The 15503-nt window shown below is 39.9% G+C and overlaps 1 protein-coding gene across 2 annotated transcripts in view; it reads right to left on the bottom strand.

The window, feature by feature from the left end:
- Positions 1-422: 422 nt before the first annotated feature.
- CNTLN (centlein) overlaps positions 423-15503 on the bottom strand; it is a 393595-nt gene continuing 378514 nt past the window's right edge. For both annotated transcript variants that reach the window (XR_007061321.1, XR_007061322.1), the window contains exon 27: positions 423-669. The gene's annotated coding sequence lies outside the window, so the exon portion shown is untranslated. The remainder of the gene's footprint in view (positions 670-15503) is intronic.

Here is a 15503-nt window from a genome sequence, read left to right as displayed (position 1 = left end):
AAGCCTGCCATCTTGAGGTCAATTAGAGAAATACTTAGTCTTGTTGAGAATCTATACTATTAAAAAAGAGCATGATATTTTGAATAAAAGTTTAAAAAATAAAAATAAGAACAACAACACTAAGCCAAAAACAGGATTTCTTCTCAGAAAACATAAATCTAAAACTCCCCACTGTCAGCCTGTTAAGGGTCATCATGGATTTGATTGAATCATGGCTTTGCCAATGCCAAAGAGCACTATAAATACACCTGGAGTTGTGTTATTACACGTGGCATTGAGAGAGAACACACTTCATGGGACATCTCACTAAGAATGTGTCAGAAAGGACTTACTACAGCATTCAAGGCTTAAGGAAGTAGGGCTTTGCTCTGGATTTTTTAATGTACAGAGCATTTGTTACCATGAATGAACCAATGCTGATGTATTTTTATTAACCAACATCCATAGTTTATTCAGATTTCCTTATTTTTACCGAATATCCTTCTTCTGTTGCAGAATCTTACCCAGATACCATATTACATGTAGTTGTCATATCTCCTCAGTGTCCTTTCGGGTGGGACAGTTTCTCAGACGTTTTTGATGAGCATAACAGTTTTGAGGAGCTCTGGTCGAGTATTTTGTAGGATGCTTCTTCACTGGCGTTTGTCTAATGTCCTCTTCATAATCAAGCTGGGATTATGGATTAGGGGGAAGAAAGACCACAGAGGTAAAGCTCCATTTTCATCACAGCATGTGAAGGTACACACAGTATTACCAATGAGACTTATCACCATTGTTAACCTTGATCAGCTGGCTGAGGTAGTGTTTGTCAGGTTTCTCCACTGTACAGCTGCTATTTTCCCCCTGCTTTCTATAATGTGTTCTTCAGGAAAAAGTCACTACATGCAGCCCACACATAAGGAGTAGGGGGTTTTCCCCAGCCCTTTTGAGGGCAGAGTTTCTACATAAATTACTTGGAAACATATCTATGTTTCTTCTATCTTTATTTTCTTCTGCTTGGGAGACTTGTCTATTCTTCTCCATATATTCAGGTATTTATTCAATCTATTATTTGTGTCAGTATGGACTCATTAATCTTTATTTTGTAATGTGTGCCACAAAATATTTATTTTGTTGATCAAATTGTTCCAGTTTTAGCCACTGGGGACTCTTTTCCCCTGGCTCCTGTATCTCTTTGACACACCCCCATCAATGCAGGATTTTCTGTTGTGTTTTGTTTTTCTTTGAGCACTGTCTTACCTTCTGGCACTACACAACACTCCAGGCTCATCTTGTATATTTCCTGCCCCAATTCCAGAATCAGCCATTTCTCCCAAGAGCCCTGGTTCCTCTTATTGGAAACCAAAATCTGAGTGCTAGGTGTGCTTGTTGCTACTCCAGTGCCTTTACCTCCAGGCTGTCTCAGCTGAGTTCATGCTGATATTGCCAACTCTAATTCTTTACCACACACATCACTCTCCTCTCCTCCCCTTGCTTATCTGTAAGTACCCACTCCACCAGTAAGAATCCTAGCTCCCACCATTTGCCATCAATGTACTGAATTCTTCCGTCCCAGTATACATGCATCGCAGAATCAGAATTGTCAGTGTGTACTCCATGGGAAACAACTTTATCAACTAGAGCACAGTGAGAGCTTCTATCTATTTAAGGATAAATTTAATTCTCTGATAGTATAGCCTGCTTGAAAAGTTTTAGTTTTTCTTTTTAAATATGGAGAATTAACAAAGATAATCAAATCAGTAGAAAGGCTGTGCAGGGTATGAACAATGGGATTTCTTTCTTTTTCAGGTAAAGGAGGGCGGGTGGCTGAATTTGGAGTGTCACAGTAATGGACAGTGATGTGTCAAGGGAAAGCTTTTTATAAGAAGTTAGGTGGCCGGGCACGGTGGCTCATACCTGTAATCCCAGGACTTTGGGAGGCTGAGGTAGGCGGATCACTTGAGGTCAGGAGTTGAAGACCAGCCCGGCCAACATGGTGAAACCCCATCTCTACTAAAAATACAGAAAATAGCTTAGCTGAGCATGGTGATGCACGCCTATAATCCCAGCTACTTGGGAAGCTGAGGCAGGAGAATCACTTGGACCCAGGAGGCGGAAGTTGCAGTGAGCTGAGATTGCACAACAGAACTCCAGCCTGGGCGACAGCGAGACTCCGCCTCAAAATCCAGCCTGGGTGACACAGCAAGACTCCGCCTCAAAAAAAAAAGAGAGATTAGGTGACTTAACTGAAAAATTGTAAGCATTTTTGTTAAAGAGTTTGTAAAGCATGATAATCATTATTTAGTGGAAACTCTAGAGCTAAATTAATTAATTTTTTTACATGTTTTACTATTGTTCTTAAAGCTCTTAGAGAATATACGTATGACTTGGCTATTGGGGCTAATGAAAGAGTGAAAGAAGCAATAGGTTTCAAATGATTCCCATTACAGTATGTCCAGACCCTTTATGAGTAAAAGAGAAAAATATTTGTGAATTTAGAATTCTGGAAAATATTTTGGTGCACACTTATTGTATCAGTCTTATCAATCTTTGTGCCCTGAGATGTTTAGCATGAGATGTTCCTTTTAACTTGGAAGTATTCAGTAATTGAAAGATATTTACGTTAGCATATTCAACTTATTTATCAAAAGAAGTTAAACTTTATAATTTGTCAGTTTTTTTGTACTAAGTCTGGTAGACAAAGTCTCTTATAGTAATTTACTTAATTACAGTTTAGAGAATTTTAGACATACCTAATTAATTTTATTTATTGCTCTATGAGCACTTATTTCAAATCATTTTGGCTATTTTGAGTAGGGAAATGATGTATACAAAAATGTCCAGGCCGGGCACGGTGGCTCACGCCTGTAATCCCAGCACTTTGGGAGGCCGAGGTGGGTGGATCACAAGGTCAGGAGATCGAGACCATCCTGGATAACATGGTGAAATCCCGTCTCTACTAAAAATACAAAAAATTAGCTGGGTGTGGTGGTGGGCACCTGTAGTCTCAGCTACTCAGGAGGCTGAGGCAGGAGAATGGCGTGAACCCGGGAGGCGGAGCTTGCAGTGAGCCGAGATTGCGCCACTGCACTCCAGCCTGGGCGACAGAGCAAGACTCTGTCTCAAAAAAAATAAAAATAGAAATAGAAAAATAAATAAAAATAAAAATGTCCAAAGACATTTGTATGCTTTGTTAATGTATTGTTATTTTAAGAAATGAGTCAAATCATGTTTCATAACCAGTGTTTTGTATGTCTTTAAAAAGTTGTTTAGTAATTGTTTAGGCCTTCAAAGATCTTTTCATAATGAATTCAGTCATTTCTCTATGACCTTAAATTTAGTGAAGGATCTGGTAATTTCAAATTAGCTAACATATTTTTTATTTACAGTATTATACATTTTCATAAAATTAGGTCTTTTAAAAGGATATTTATTATCATTCTATTTAGTTGAATACAATTACATATGTAATTTTTAATTTTAAACAAGCTACAGAAACATACGTAGATCATTTAACTCGCAAACCAATGTAGGAAAGTTTGAATTATAAGAAATAACACTGGTCTTGAACAAATCAAAATGTTATGCTAACAACATTTTTATATGGTAAACCAGTTTTTAAAAACTCTGAATCATGCCAATATTCCCTTTTATTTTGAAGTTAAAATCTTTTCTATCTCATAGCTATAAAAACAAGTTATTATATAAAAACACTTTCCAGTACCCATAAAAAGAAACATAATTTAGTGACTTTACCTTTCTTTTAGAAAATATTTACTGTTTATATGTACTTAATATTCCTGCAGTACCTCAAAAATGACTGAAAGGTTTTTTTTTTATCAGTTAAGTTTTAAAGTTTACAATAGTCACGCATATTAATCAGGATGGAGGGATATTTTGGTCATTTTTATGGTTTGGGTAATGTTTTGGCTGAGGGATGTTGGGCAAGTTAGCAGCTGAGCCTCATTTTCCATATAGGGTTCTTTATGAAATGAAACAAATTAGTAAAATGTCCAACAATGTCTATGTTATTGTGTATGTTCAAACCTGATTTGAGAGTGATCTTGTTTTTGTCTTTATTTCTGATGGTCACAGAGTGGTCTTAACTGATTTTGATATTCTGTGAAATTGTTTAAGAGGAAAATACCAAGGCTAGCTCCTAGCAACAACAGGACAAGTGGACAGTAAGAAGCCGTCTCCCAGGTGTCAGGGGCTGCTTTTCTTTTTCTTTGTAACTCTCTAGAGCCTAAACTTGGAAATACATGTATTATACAAGCCAAGGTTTTATTCTTAAAAACATGCCTAAAGCACACATAAAATGTGTTTTGATAGAGCTACTGAATCATAATTAACAAAGAGAAGGATTTAAAGTTTACAACAAATAGTCAAGTTCTTAACAGCCTTAATATAAGCTGAGAATGAAAGTTTAAGCTGCATTCAATGTTATGAGCAATGGAATATTGTAATTGTTAAGTTTATGTGTCAACTTGAATGGGACATCCAGTACCTAGACACTTGGTCAAACATTATTCTGGGTGTGTCTATGAGAATGTTTCTGGATGAGATTAACATTTGAACATTTGAAAAGGTAGACTGAATAAAGCAGACTGCCCTCTCTAATTATGGGAAGGCCTTATTCAATTGATGGAAGCCCTAATACAACAAAAAGGCTAAGAGGAAACTCCCACTGACTGACAGCCTTGAGCTGGGACATCAGTCTTCTCCTGCCTTTAGACTCAAACTGAAATATAGGCTTTTAGACTGGTAGTACATCATCAGTTATCCTGGGTCTCTATTACCAATGGCAGATCTTAGAAATTCTCAGCCTCCATAACCCCATGAGCCAATCCCTTATAATAACTAAATAACAAAACAAACAAATAAATAAAATACATATGTATGCACATACATATAAACACATACAGAATATTAGTTCTGCTTCTCTGGAAAACTCTGATTAAATATCAAATTACCATTAACTGGTATATACAGAAAGCTGACATACAGGTTGTCAATTTACAAATAGTCACTTTTGAACCTTTCTCATTTTAGAAAACATTTCACACATTTGACATAAGAGTAAAGGGACGTTTCTAAGAGGAAAAAGCAAGAGATTTATTAGTGAAAACTGCTCTTAATGTTTTTTGACCAAAGAAATTTCTACAGATCCACAGGGGTCAACCCTGTAATGGAGGAATATGTTCAACTGATGAGTGCTCCTTAACGCAAAAGCTTTAATTGATTCCTCTGTTATAGGACCAAGCTTCTTTACGGGGTCCCTCTTAAAAGTTTCAAAAGATACCAGCTATTCTACTTCCTGAGATATTAGTGTAAAAGTTCTAGAAGTCTCAGAGATATTAAGCAAATGACAAAAAAAGGATTGTACATGGCTGAAGTTCATTCAGTTCTACCGTTAAATAAAAACAAAGCAAATAATCCATAAGATAATCTTCCAGTTCATTTTTCCACTGTGAAAAATCAAGGTAGAATTATATCTATATTTATTTTCACTAGGTAAGGCACCTTGAAGAAATATACATGGGCTGGGCATGGTGGCGCACACCTGTAATCCCAGCACTTTGGGAGGCTGAGGCAGGAGTATCACTTGAGGTCAGGAGCTCGAGATGAGCCTGGCCAACATGATGAAACCCCGTCTCTACTAAAAATACAAAAATTAGACAGGTGTGGTGGTGGACACCTGTAATCCCAGCTACTCAAGGGGGCTAAGGCAGCAGAATCGCTTGAACCAGGACGCGGAGGTTGCAGTGAGCTGAGATTGCACCACTGCACTCCAGCCTGGGCCACAGAGTGAGGCTCCATCTCAAAAACAAAAAACGTATGTATAAGTCCATCAGAAGTTACCTAAAACCCCTGTTCACGTTCTAGGACCAATATTATGGTTATAAGGCTTTTTTAGATGAGGCATTATCCAGATAGTGGAGTGTCAACATTGGTCATAAAGGTGCTCTCTGGTGGTGATGAAACTGGGGGCCTCTCAACATACTCTAGGCATCTGCATTCTAAAGGTTTCCAACCTATCCACATACCCAGAGGGACATTCGTACCTTTTACTCAGTGATTTTGGAAATGGAGTTTTTTGGAGCCCAAAAAGCTGGGCACCAAATGAGAAGACAGTGACTCTCTGGAAATCACAGGAACCAGGAAGAGAGAAGCAGAATTTAATGGTACTTGGAGAAGTAGACAGGAATCAAGAGAATTTTGTCAGCGGGCATCATGCAGGTGAATGGAAAATCAAGGTGGGCAGGGGGCAGCGTTGGATACACGCTTGGGCATCAATCCTTGGAATAAAAGTATCTTTTAAATTTTAAAAAAGTGGGTTTTTTTTAGTTTAGTCTCACGTGTGTCATACAAAAAGCTAGATAGCCTGAATATCCTTGTACCTTGGAGGGAAGGCAGGCCGACTTTCGGTTGTGTGCCAGCCAAGTCTGCTTCTCTGTGTCAATCTCAAGCATTAGGGATTGGCAAGGCTGTACTGTAGTTTCAAAAACTAAATGTCGTAAAACCACAAGAATCTTTCTCCCATAGGAGCCCAGCCCCCGAAGTGATGAAAAGGCTGCCTGAGGTATGATGGGATTTCATATTTGGTGTGAAGAATCAAGGTCAGGATGGCATAGCAGTAAAGGGTTTGAAAGTCCTGAGGTTTAATTTCCAGGTCGGCCAGGTATTTGCTGTGGAATCTTGGGCAAGTTAGCGGCTGAGCCTCCTTTTCCTTATAGGGCTGTTTGAGGAATGAAACCGGTTAGCACAATGCCTGATACACAGCTCGACAATCGGTAGTCATCCCATTACGCACCTAAATTGTATGGATGGAGGGAAGGCAACTGACATTTATTTAGCATTTACTATGTGGCAGGCACTATACTAGCCACGTCCATGTATTATTACCTCCTTAATCCTTAAAAAATCCCTGGGAGCTAGGTAGTCCTATGTCATAGGAGACAGGAGACTGGAAACTGAGACTATCATAGCAAAGTATAGCAGAAAATGCATACAGGTGGGGTGGGGGTATCTCATTGTAAACAGTAGTTGCTAATGCCTATTTGAGCTAACAGGTCATGATTCTACAACCCAATATGATAGAAAATAATATAGGCAGAATTATACTCAGGTTTTCCCAATATTGACAGCAATTTTAAGGGAAAAAATAAAATCTTTGAAATGCTATAGCTATAAATAAATCAGCATTTGCAATTTTTTAGAGCAACTCTGAAGGAAACTGTTAGTAATTAATTTTTCAGGACTTGTTGAAGCAGCCCAAACTCTGAAATGCATTTTGTCCTGGCAATTATGGCTTGTAATGTCAAAAATGATCATAATTGCAATGCTGTTAGCACTTGAAAGGAACAGTTTCCTTTCACCTTTGTCTCTCACCTGCAAAGTTGTGAATTGCCACCTGGTGATAGTAGAGTTCCACACCATCTAGGAGAAAAGGGCGATCCTAAATATGAAATAAGCTGAAAAAATGCAGTCTGGCTTTTGTTCAAGGAATAGGTTTCTCTATGTAAAAATGGCTAAAAGCTAGGCTATTAAACAAGTATTATCCACACCAGACATACTCAAGAGTGAATTCGGGGGAAAAAAAGAATTATTCAATTAAGCAAGTCTCTTGCTAGTCGTCCTTTTCTAGAACAAGCTAAATCACATTTCTGTTCAGCTTGTTACAGAACCTGATCACAGGAGTGTTCTCTTTTCTTACTTACACCTAAGATTGCTCTATTAGTGCCTTTGTAGCTGCCTTTACCATTCTTTATGTTCCATTTCCTCTCTCTCTCTCTCTCTCTCTCTCTCTCTTTTTCTCCCTTTCTCTCTCTCTAGCTTTTCTAAACCACAAGGGGCCTCTTTTCTGTCTTCTGGGAACCCTGAAGGTTTGGGAATCACATCCTAAATAATGCAGAATCTTTAACCAAAGCCTGTGGATTTTCTTCTTCATTTTAAAACATCACCTTGATAATTATCTCGTGCCTTGTCTAGTTAGATTACTTACAGATAAACAGTTTAAATGCTCATTTATTCATTTATAGACTCCTATTACAAGCCAGTTTTCAATTCTAGTGCAAGTAACAATCCACAGAATTTTTCATGCTTCAGACCTGAATTACGTTTCAGAACCAGAAGAAGAAGCAGCTTCGATTATTTTCTTGATGAAGACAAAATAGGCTACTCAAAATATTGCCATTGTCTAGCCTCCATCGCCAAGGCAACAAGGCAGGGTGGGGGATGCTGCCCTGACCACTAGCATTAGAGCTTTTCTTTGTTGCAAACACACATCTCAAATGTGATGAAAATCATTTCATGAAAAACTAAAAATACATCAGCTGATATTTTGCTCTTAACAGAGCAACTTACTGAACTGAATTCATAATTTTAGCTTGCAACCCAATTATCAGTTAAAATAAACAGACTCAACTTCAATAAATAGAGCTCCCTTTTCATGTGTAATTAACTATGCTGGATTGCATTTGGTCATCTGAGCAGTACCACCTCTCACCTCCAAGCGGGGAGCCATGTTTTTCAGAATGCCCTTCCCATACAATTCAGGGTTGGATTTTGCCAGTGAGAGGAACTTGCATGGGATTTGAAAAGCTAAGCTGTTATTCTCAGGAGGACCTGGTGGCCAGAACAGCTTCCCTTCCTGCTCCAGCTCTTTAGGCAGAAGTTATTAAGGGACTGTTTCTCTGATCCTCTACCTGCTGTTCAGCCCCACGCTCCCAGTAGCTCTCCCACATATGTATAACCCTAATTCCTTTATTAAATCCTTTGGCCCCTGTAACACTTGCAGTGGCTCTGTTTTCTGGGCTGAATCCACTTCCAGTGTCAAAAACTATAGGTGGCTATTACAGAAGATCAGACAAAGAAAACACTTCATAAAATCTTGCAAAATTTGTTCAGTGAAAGGAGGCAAACAGTAATTAATGAAGCAAATGGAAAAGAGAGTTTTCTACCTTTACAAATGACTGAATTTACACAAGCAAAATAAATATTTGAATGAGGGTAAGGCTCCAGTGTGAGGCATCTTTCCTGATAAAAATCCTAGCTTTCGGTTTTAAAAACATTGCCTTTTACTTCTTCCTCTCCTGCACTCTCTGAGAAGGCTGGCTGCACTGCCCGATTCCTGAGGGTTATTTAGCACATTTCCCGGCATGCCTCTTGCTTCACCCCAGCTATACTGTAGCTTTATGTCCTGTTTGTTAATATTTGAAATAGAAACTCTACTGACACCTAATGCATTCCGCTGACATTGGCTAGCAGACTTCTTGTAACTGTTTGACCTTCTCATCCTCTCTGCATGTTAAAATTACTTAAGGAGTGGATGTGCTAAAAGTTTGGTTTCCTGAGATTGTTGGAAGAAAAGGTCACTCAAATCCAATAAACACATAATTTTATTTTTCATCGGTGATGGAGTCCATGATCCAGCACCATATATCTTGCAAAGAAAGTGTAAAAAAAGCTTTGAGCCCTCAGTCCTGGCAAGTCTCCCTGCATCCCATGTATTTACAACAGTTCAATCTATACTTGAATTGAAGTTCTAACTTAGAGTTCTAGAGCAGTGAACCTTTGTTTTATTTATGTTTCAGAATTTAATATACAGTAAGTGAGTGAGAAGTTAAGTTTTAAACAAGAAGCTCAGAAATGTTCTATTTAATTACATTTTAAAACATTATTGGAGTTTTTATTTTCCCTTGTGAGTACCATGTTAAATTAAAAGTAAGGAGAAAAGAACAGTTAATTTTATGCATCTGACTTTTTCCCTCATGCAATACTGTGTTTGTGAGGAAGGGATACGTTTTTCTTTGATTAAAAAAAAAAAAAAACACTCAAATCTCAGTGGTGGCTGGGGCAGTGGTTCACGCTGGTAATCCCAGCACTTTGGGAGGCTGAGGTGGGCAGAATGCCTCAGCCCAAGAGTTTGAGACCAGTCTGGGAAACATAATGAAGCCCTCTCTTTAAAAAATAAATAAATAAATAAATAACTAGGCCTGGTAGCACACACCTGTAGTCCCAGCTACTCAGGGGGCTGAGGTAGGAGGATCACTTGAGCCCGGGAGGCAGAGGTTCAGTGAGCCATGATCGTACCACTGTACTCAAGCCTGGGTGACAGAGACCCTGTCTCAAAAACTAAACAAACAAGTCTCAGTGGCTTTTCACAGCAGAAGCTTATTTCTTATTCATAGATGTGGTGCACAGGGAGCCATCAGGGAAGCTCTGTTCATCACTCTCACTTGGGGTCCCAGCTCCCAGAGGCTCCATCACACCCTGTGTTTCCATAATTACAGGGGCAGGAAGGAGAAGGTAGGGAATTACACAATGTCTCAAAGCTTCTACTGGAAGGTGATACATGGTACTTACACTCACATTTCATTGCCTAAAACAAGTCACAGGGCCTCACTCCACTTCTGAGCAGGTATAGAAGTATAATCCCATCATAGGACAGAGGGAGAGCTGACATAAATATTCATGAGCTGTACCTACATTTCTTTTCCTGATAACAGAAAAATAAATATTTCATTTATGGCCATTATCAGATAATATTTCAGTTGAAAGCATGCATTATCAATGCCACACTTCCCTCTGCCAGGAGGTAAAAATTTGGAATTCTTGGAAGGAGGGGCAAAATCTTAAAACTTAGATATTCTAATGATCTATGGCCCTTCAAAGGGCCACAGCACATAAACAGTATACTGCATATCTGTGGTATTAAAACTTTATGGAGGCCAGGCACGGTGGCTCATGCCTGTAATCCCAGCATTTTGGGAGGGCGAGGTAGGCAGATCACGAGGTCAGGAGTTCAAGACCAGCCTGGCAAACATGGTGAAACCCCCATCTCTACTAAAAATGCAAAAATTAGCTGGGTGTGGTGGTGCACATCTGTAATCCTAGCTACTTGGGAGGCTGAGGCAGGAGAATCACTTGAACCCAGGAGGCAGAGGTTGCGGTGAGCCGAGATCAGATCATGCCACTGTGCTCCAGCCTGGGTGACAAAGCAAGACTCCGTCTCAAAAAAAAAAAAAAAAAAAAAAAAGGAAAAGAAAAAGAAAAAAAACTTTATGGAGGTGGGGGTAGGAGGTGATTAGGGAAGAAAAAAAGCCTAAAGAGGCTCCTTGGGGGGTGGTTAAAGGAAATAAAGTTGAGAAGCACAGAGTCGGAAGGCCTGAGTTCTAATTCTGGCATTTAATCAGATGAGGTAACTGATCATGCTGAAAGCCTAGTTCTCCCCACCCTTTGTATTACTTTCCCAGGGCTGCCATAACCAATGACCACAAGCTGAATGACTTAAAGCAACAGAAATGTATTCCTTCACACTTCTAGAGGCTGGAGATCCAAGACCAAGGTATCCTCAGGGCCATGTTCCCTCCAATGGCCTTGCTGGAGAGAATGTCCCATGGGTCTGTTCTAGCTCCTGGTGGTGGCTGGCAGTCCTTGGCCTTCCTTCAGCCGAGGCAGCCTAACTCCAAACTATACCTCCGTCTGCACATGGTCCTCTTCCCTCTGTGTGTATCTTTGTGTCTCCCAATCTCTCTCCCCTCCTAAGGACACTAGGTATTGAATGTGGGCTCATGCTAATCCAGTCTTTTCTTAACTTGAATACATCTACAAAGACTTTATTTCTTTTTTTTCATTTATTTTTATTTTTATTTATTTTTAACTTTTTTTTTTTGTTTTGTTTGAGATGGAGTCTCGCTCTGTTGCCCAGGCTGGAGTGCAGGGGTGCAATCTTGGTTCACTGCAAGCTCCGCCTCCTGGGTTCACGCCATTCTCCTGCCTCAGCCTCACCAGTAGTTGGGACTACAGGCGCCCGCCACCACACTGGCTAATTTTTTTTTGTATTTTTAGTAGAGACGGGGTTTCACCATGTTAGCCAGGATGGTCTCCATCTCCTGACCTGTGATCCACCCGTCTCGGCCTCCCAAAGTGCTGGGATTACAGGCGTGAGCCACCGCGCCCGGCCAAGACCTTATTTCCAAATGAGATACAGGAGAGCTAGGACTTCAGCATATCTTTTGGGGGACAGGATTCAACTCAAGATACCTTTTGATCCCATTACTTTAGGAATGTAACATTTATTGCAGTGCCCACTGCATTCCAGGAGATGGAAAGATTGTGCTCGAGATAGAAAGATTCCTTTCCTCAATGAATATTTATTTGATCCTTACTATGTGTCAGGCACTGTTATAGGCACTAGGATTACATCTATAACAACAAAACAAAGAGACAAAATCTAGATCAAGTTCTTGCTGTTGTTGGGGCTCAGAAAATGCTACCTCAAAATATGGCACCTTGGAAACTGAGAAAACAGCAGAAATGGAAAGGCCACTCTCTGACCTTCCACCCGTCTATGTGAGAGCTGGCCATAAAGGGGTTCGCTGACTTACCCTCCATGAAAGTAGGCCATAGGACCCTGATGTGACAGATGTCCCACCCTATACCCAAAGTAAAGGCATATTATCCAGGGGGGGCCAAGAAGAATCTAAACAAATAGGGACTGTTGAGTTTTCCGTAGTGTGTGAAGTCAGACTCCCCCTTTGTCCAGTTACATTTCTGCACAACTGTTCCTTCTTCATTGAACCTAAGGGTATAAAGTTATACCCTTTTTCCTGGGTCTTCGGGTCTTCATGTCTGAAGGTTCCCATATCACATAAAACATTAATTGAATAAATTTGTTATGCTTTTCTCTTGTTAATCTTTTGTTACAGGAGCGTCAGCCACAACCCTTGCAATGGGTGAGCAAAGTTATTCCTTTTTCTCCCCCACACTGTTACATGACTTACGGTCTATAGAAGAGATGGGTGATACACAGATATGTGCAACATGGTACCACTAAGAAGAAAGATAAGGCAGGGTAGATGGTAGAGAGTGCAATGTGAAATATGTTGCTGTGGAGAATGTAGTCAGGGTAAGCCTCTTTAAAGAGGTGTCTTTGAGTAAAGGTTTGAATGAAAGGAGGGATAAAATCATGTGGCTGCCAGGGAGACAGAATTCCAGACAGAGAACTGCAGTGCAAAGGTACTGAGTTGGGCACAGTTTGAGTGTGTTTGATGAGGCCACTGTAGTGATGTGGAGTGAGTATAAGGAGAGGAAGAAGATGAAGTGTGATAGAGAACTGGTGGCCAGGTCATGCAGGCCTTGAAGGCTGAAGGAAAGACTCTTCTGTTACTTTGAGTAAGATGGGAAGTGACTTGAGGATTGTGAGCAGAGGAATGACATGGTCTCATGTGTTTTAAATGAAAGCTGGGTGGTGAATATGCTGTATTATAGAGCAACAGCTGAAGCAGGGAGACCAATTAAAGTGATGCAGTAGTTCAGTTGACGGTCTGAACTGGAGTGGAAATGGGGAAGGCAGTGATGAGCTGTTGCATGCTGGATACGTTCTGAGGGTAGAGTCAGTAGAATTTCCCGATACATTGAAGGGAGTATGAGTAAAAAGAGGAGACAGGATGATGCTAAGATTTTTTGGCCTAACAAAATGGAAGTTTAGGGTTGCCACTTACTGACTGGGGGGAGTGATAGGAATGCAGCACAAATTCAGCTCTGGACATGTGACATTTGGGATACCTATTAGACCATCAAGTAGAGATGTTGAATAAGCAGTAAGATGAGATCAGGGGAGATGTCAGGGCTGGAAAATAAGGTTGGGAGTTGACAGCTTATAGATTGTACTTAAGGTCAAGGAATTAGTTAAGATCAACTACAGACTGAATATTTATTAAAAAAAATTCTTAAAAGTGAGCCTGGTAGTACCCCTAACATTTAGAATTAAGGAAGATGAGGGCTATCTAGAAATTGAGGCTGAGAAGGAGTAGCCAATGAGTTAAAAGAAGATTCATGAAAGAGTGGGGTACAAGAAGCAAAGTGAAGACAGGCTTTCAAGAAAGCGTGACCAGCAGGGCCAAATGTTGCTGACGGATGAAGTAGGAGAAAGGCTGAAAACTGGCCATAGGATTTGACAATGTACAGACCATTTGTATATAAGTCAGGATTTGGTTTGACTTCATATGCCAGAGCACCAAAAATGACAATGGAATAAACATAAAAACATCTGAGTGTAGGTAGTCCAGGGCTACATGGTAGCCCTGTGGTAATTTAGGACCCAGGTTCCTTCTAGTTTTCTTTTCCTTTATCCTAGCACATGGCTTCTATCCTCAAAATGCTGGCTTTAGTTCCTACAAAAGAACATGAAGGAACAAGTGGAAAAGGTCATAAAGGCACATGGTTCAGAGGAGCTAACTATAATAGTTAACTAGAGTTACAGTCACAATAATTCTGTATGCCAAACAACTACAAAATCTCAGTGGCATGCCACAGTAAGCATTAATATTGCTCAGGAGTCTATGGCTTGGCTGACAGTCAGCTGATCTAGGCCGGGCTTCCCTTCAAAAACCAGTACACTTGGAATAAAATCTACTTGGCCAAGTATGCTGTTTTTTGAATAAACTAAAATTTCTATTTTTACTTAGAATACTTATGTTTTTATTAGTAAATATTGATTTATAGTTCTCTTTTTAGGTATTTTTATCTGATTTTGTTATTCAGCCTATCCTTGTTTCATACCATCACTTATGGGATCCTTTCATCTTCTTCTGTGTGTAGTTATAAGAAAAGGAATTGTCTGTTTTTTGAGGCTAGATCGATGTTAATGATAAAGTCATCTGGTCCTGCTGCCTTTCTAAATGGCAGATCTTTATCTATATTCTAATTTCTGTTATGTGTCACGGTTTATTTGACTTTCTACCACTTCTTTTGTTTTGTTTGAGACAGCATCTTGCTCTGTCTCTCAGGCTGGAGTACAGTGATGCAGTCTCAGCCCACTGCACCCACAAGTCCCCAGACTCAAGCGATCCTCCCATCTTAGCCTCCCCAGTAGCTGGGACTACAGGCATGTGTCATTACGCCCAGTTTTTTTTTTTAACCTATTTGCAGAAATGGGGTCTCACTATGTTGCCTAGGCTGGTCTCAAACTCCTGGGCTCAAGCGATCCTCCCACCTCAGCCTCCCAAAGTGCTGGGATTACAGGTGTGAGCCACTGTGCCTGGCTGACTTTCTACCACTTCTTAAGTGAATCTGGGTTATTTATATTTGGCTAGCAAATCATATATTACCTTAAAATTGACCTGTACCTATTCTTTCACAATTTTTAAAATGCCTTTTGCATCTTTTCTAATTACTAATGTTGCATGTTTTCACTTTTCTCTTTTATCCTTAACTAGGCTTACCAGAGTTAGTTTAATTGTAAAGATCAGCTTCGTTATATCTTTTTTTCAGTTGTTTTTCTTTTAAAATAATTTCACTTTTATGAATTCTTTCCTCCTATTCTATTTAGGTTTGATTTTATTTATTTCTTATTTATTTGTTTTTTAAAGACAGGGTCGCATTCTGTTGCCCAGGCTGGAGTGTGGAGTGCGGTGGCACAATCACAGCTCACTGCAGCCTCAACCTCCTGGGTTCAGTCTATCCTCCCGCTTCAACCTCCTGCATAGCTGGGACTACAGGTGCATGCCACCACACCA

Source organism: Homo sapiens, chromosome 9 (assembly GCF_000001405.40).
Source record: "Homo sapiens chromosome 9, GRCh38.p14 Primary Assembly".
NCBI classification, from domain to species: Eukaryota; Metazoa; Chordata; class Mammalia; order Primates; family Hominidae; genus Homo; species Homo sapiens.
Note: the sequence above shows the minus strand (reverse complement) of the source record. Positions and strands in the feature narration are given on the sequence as shown.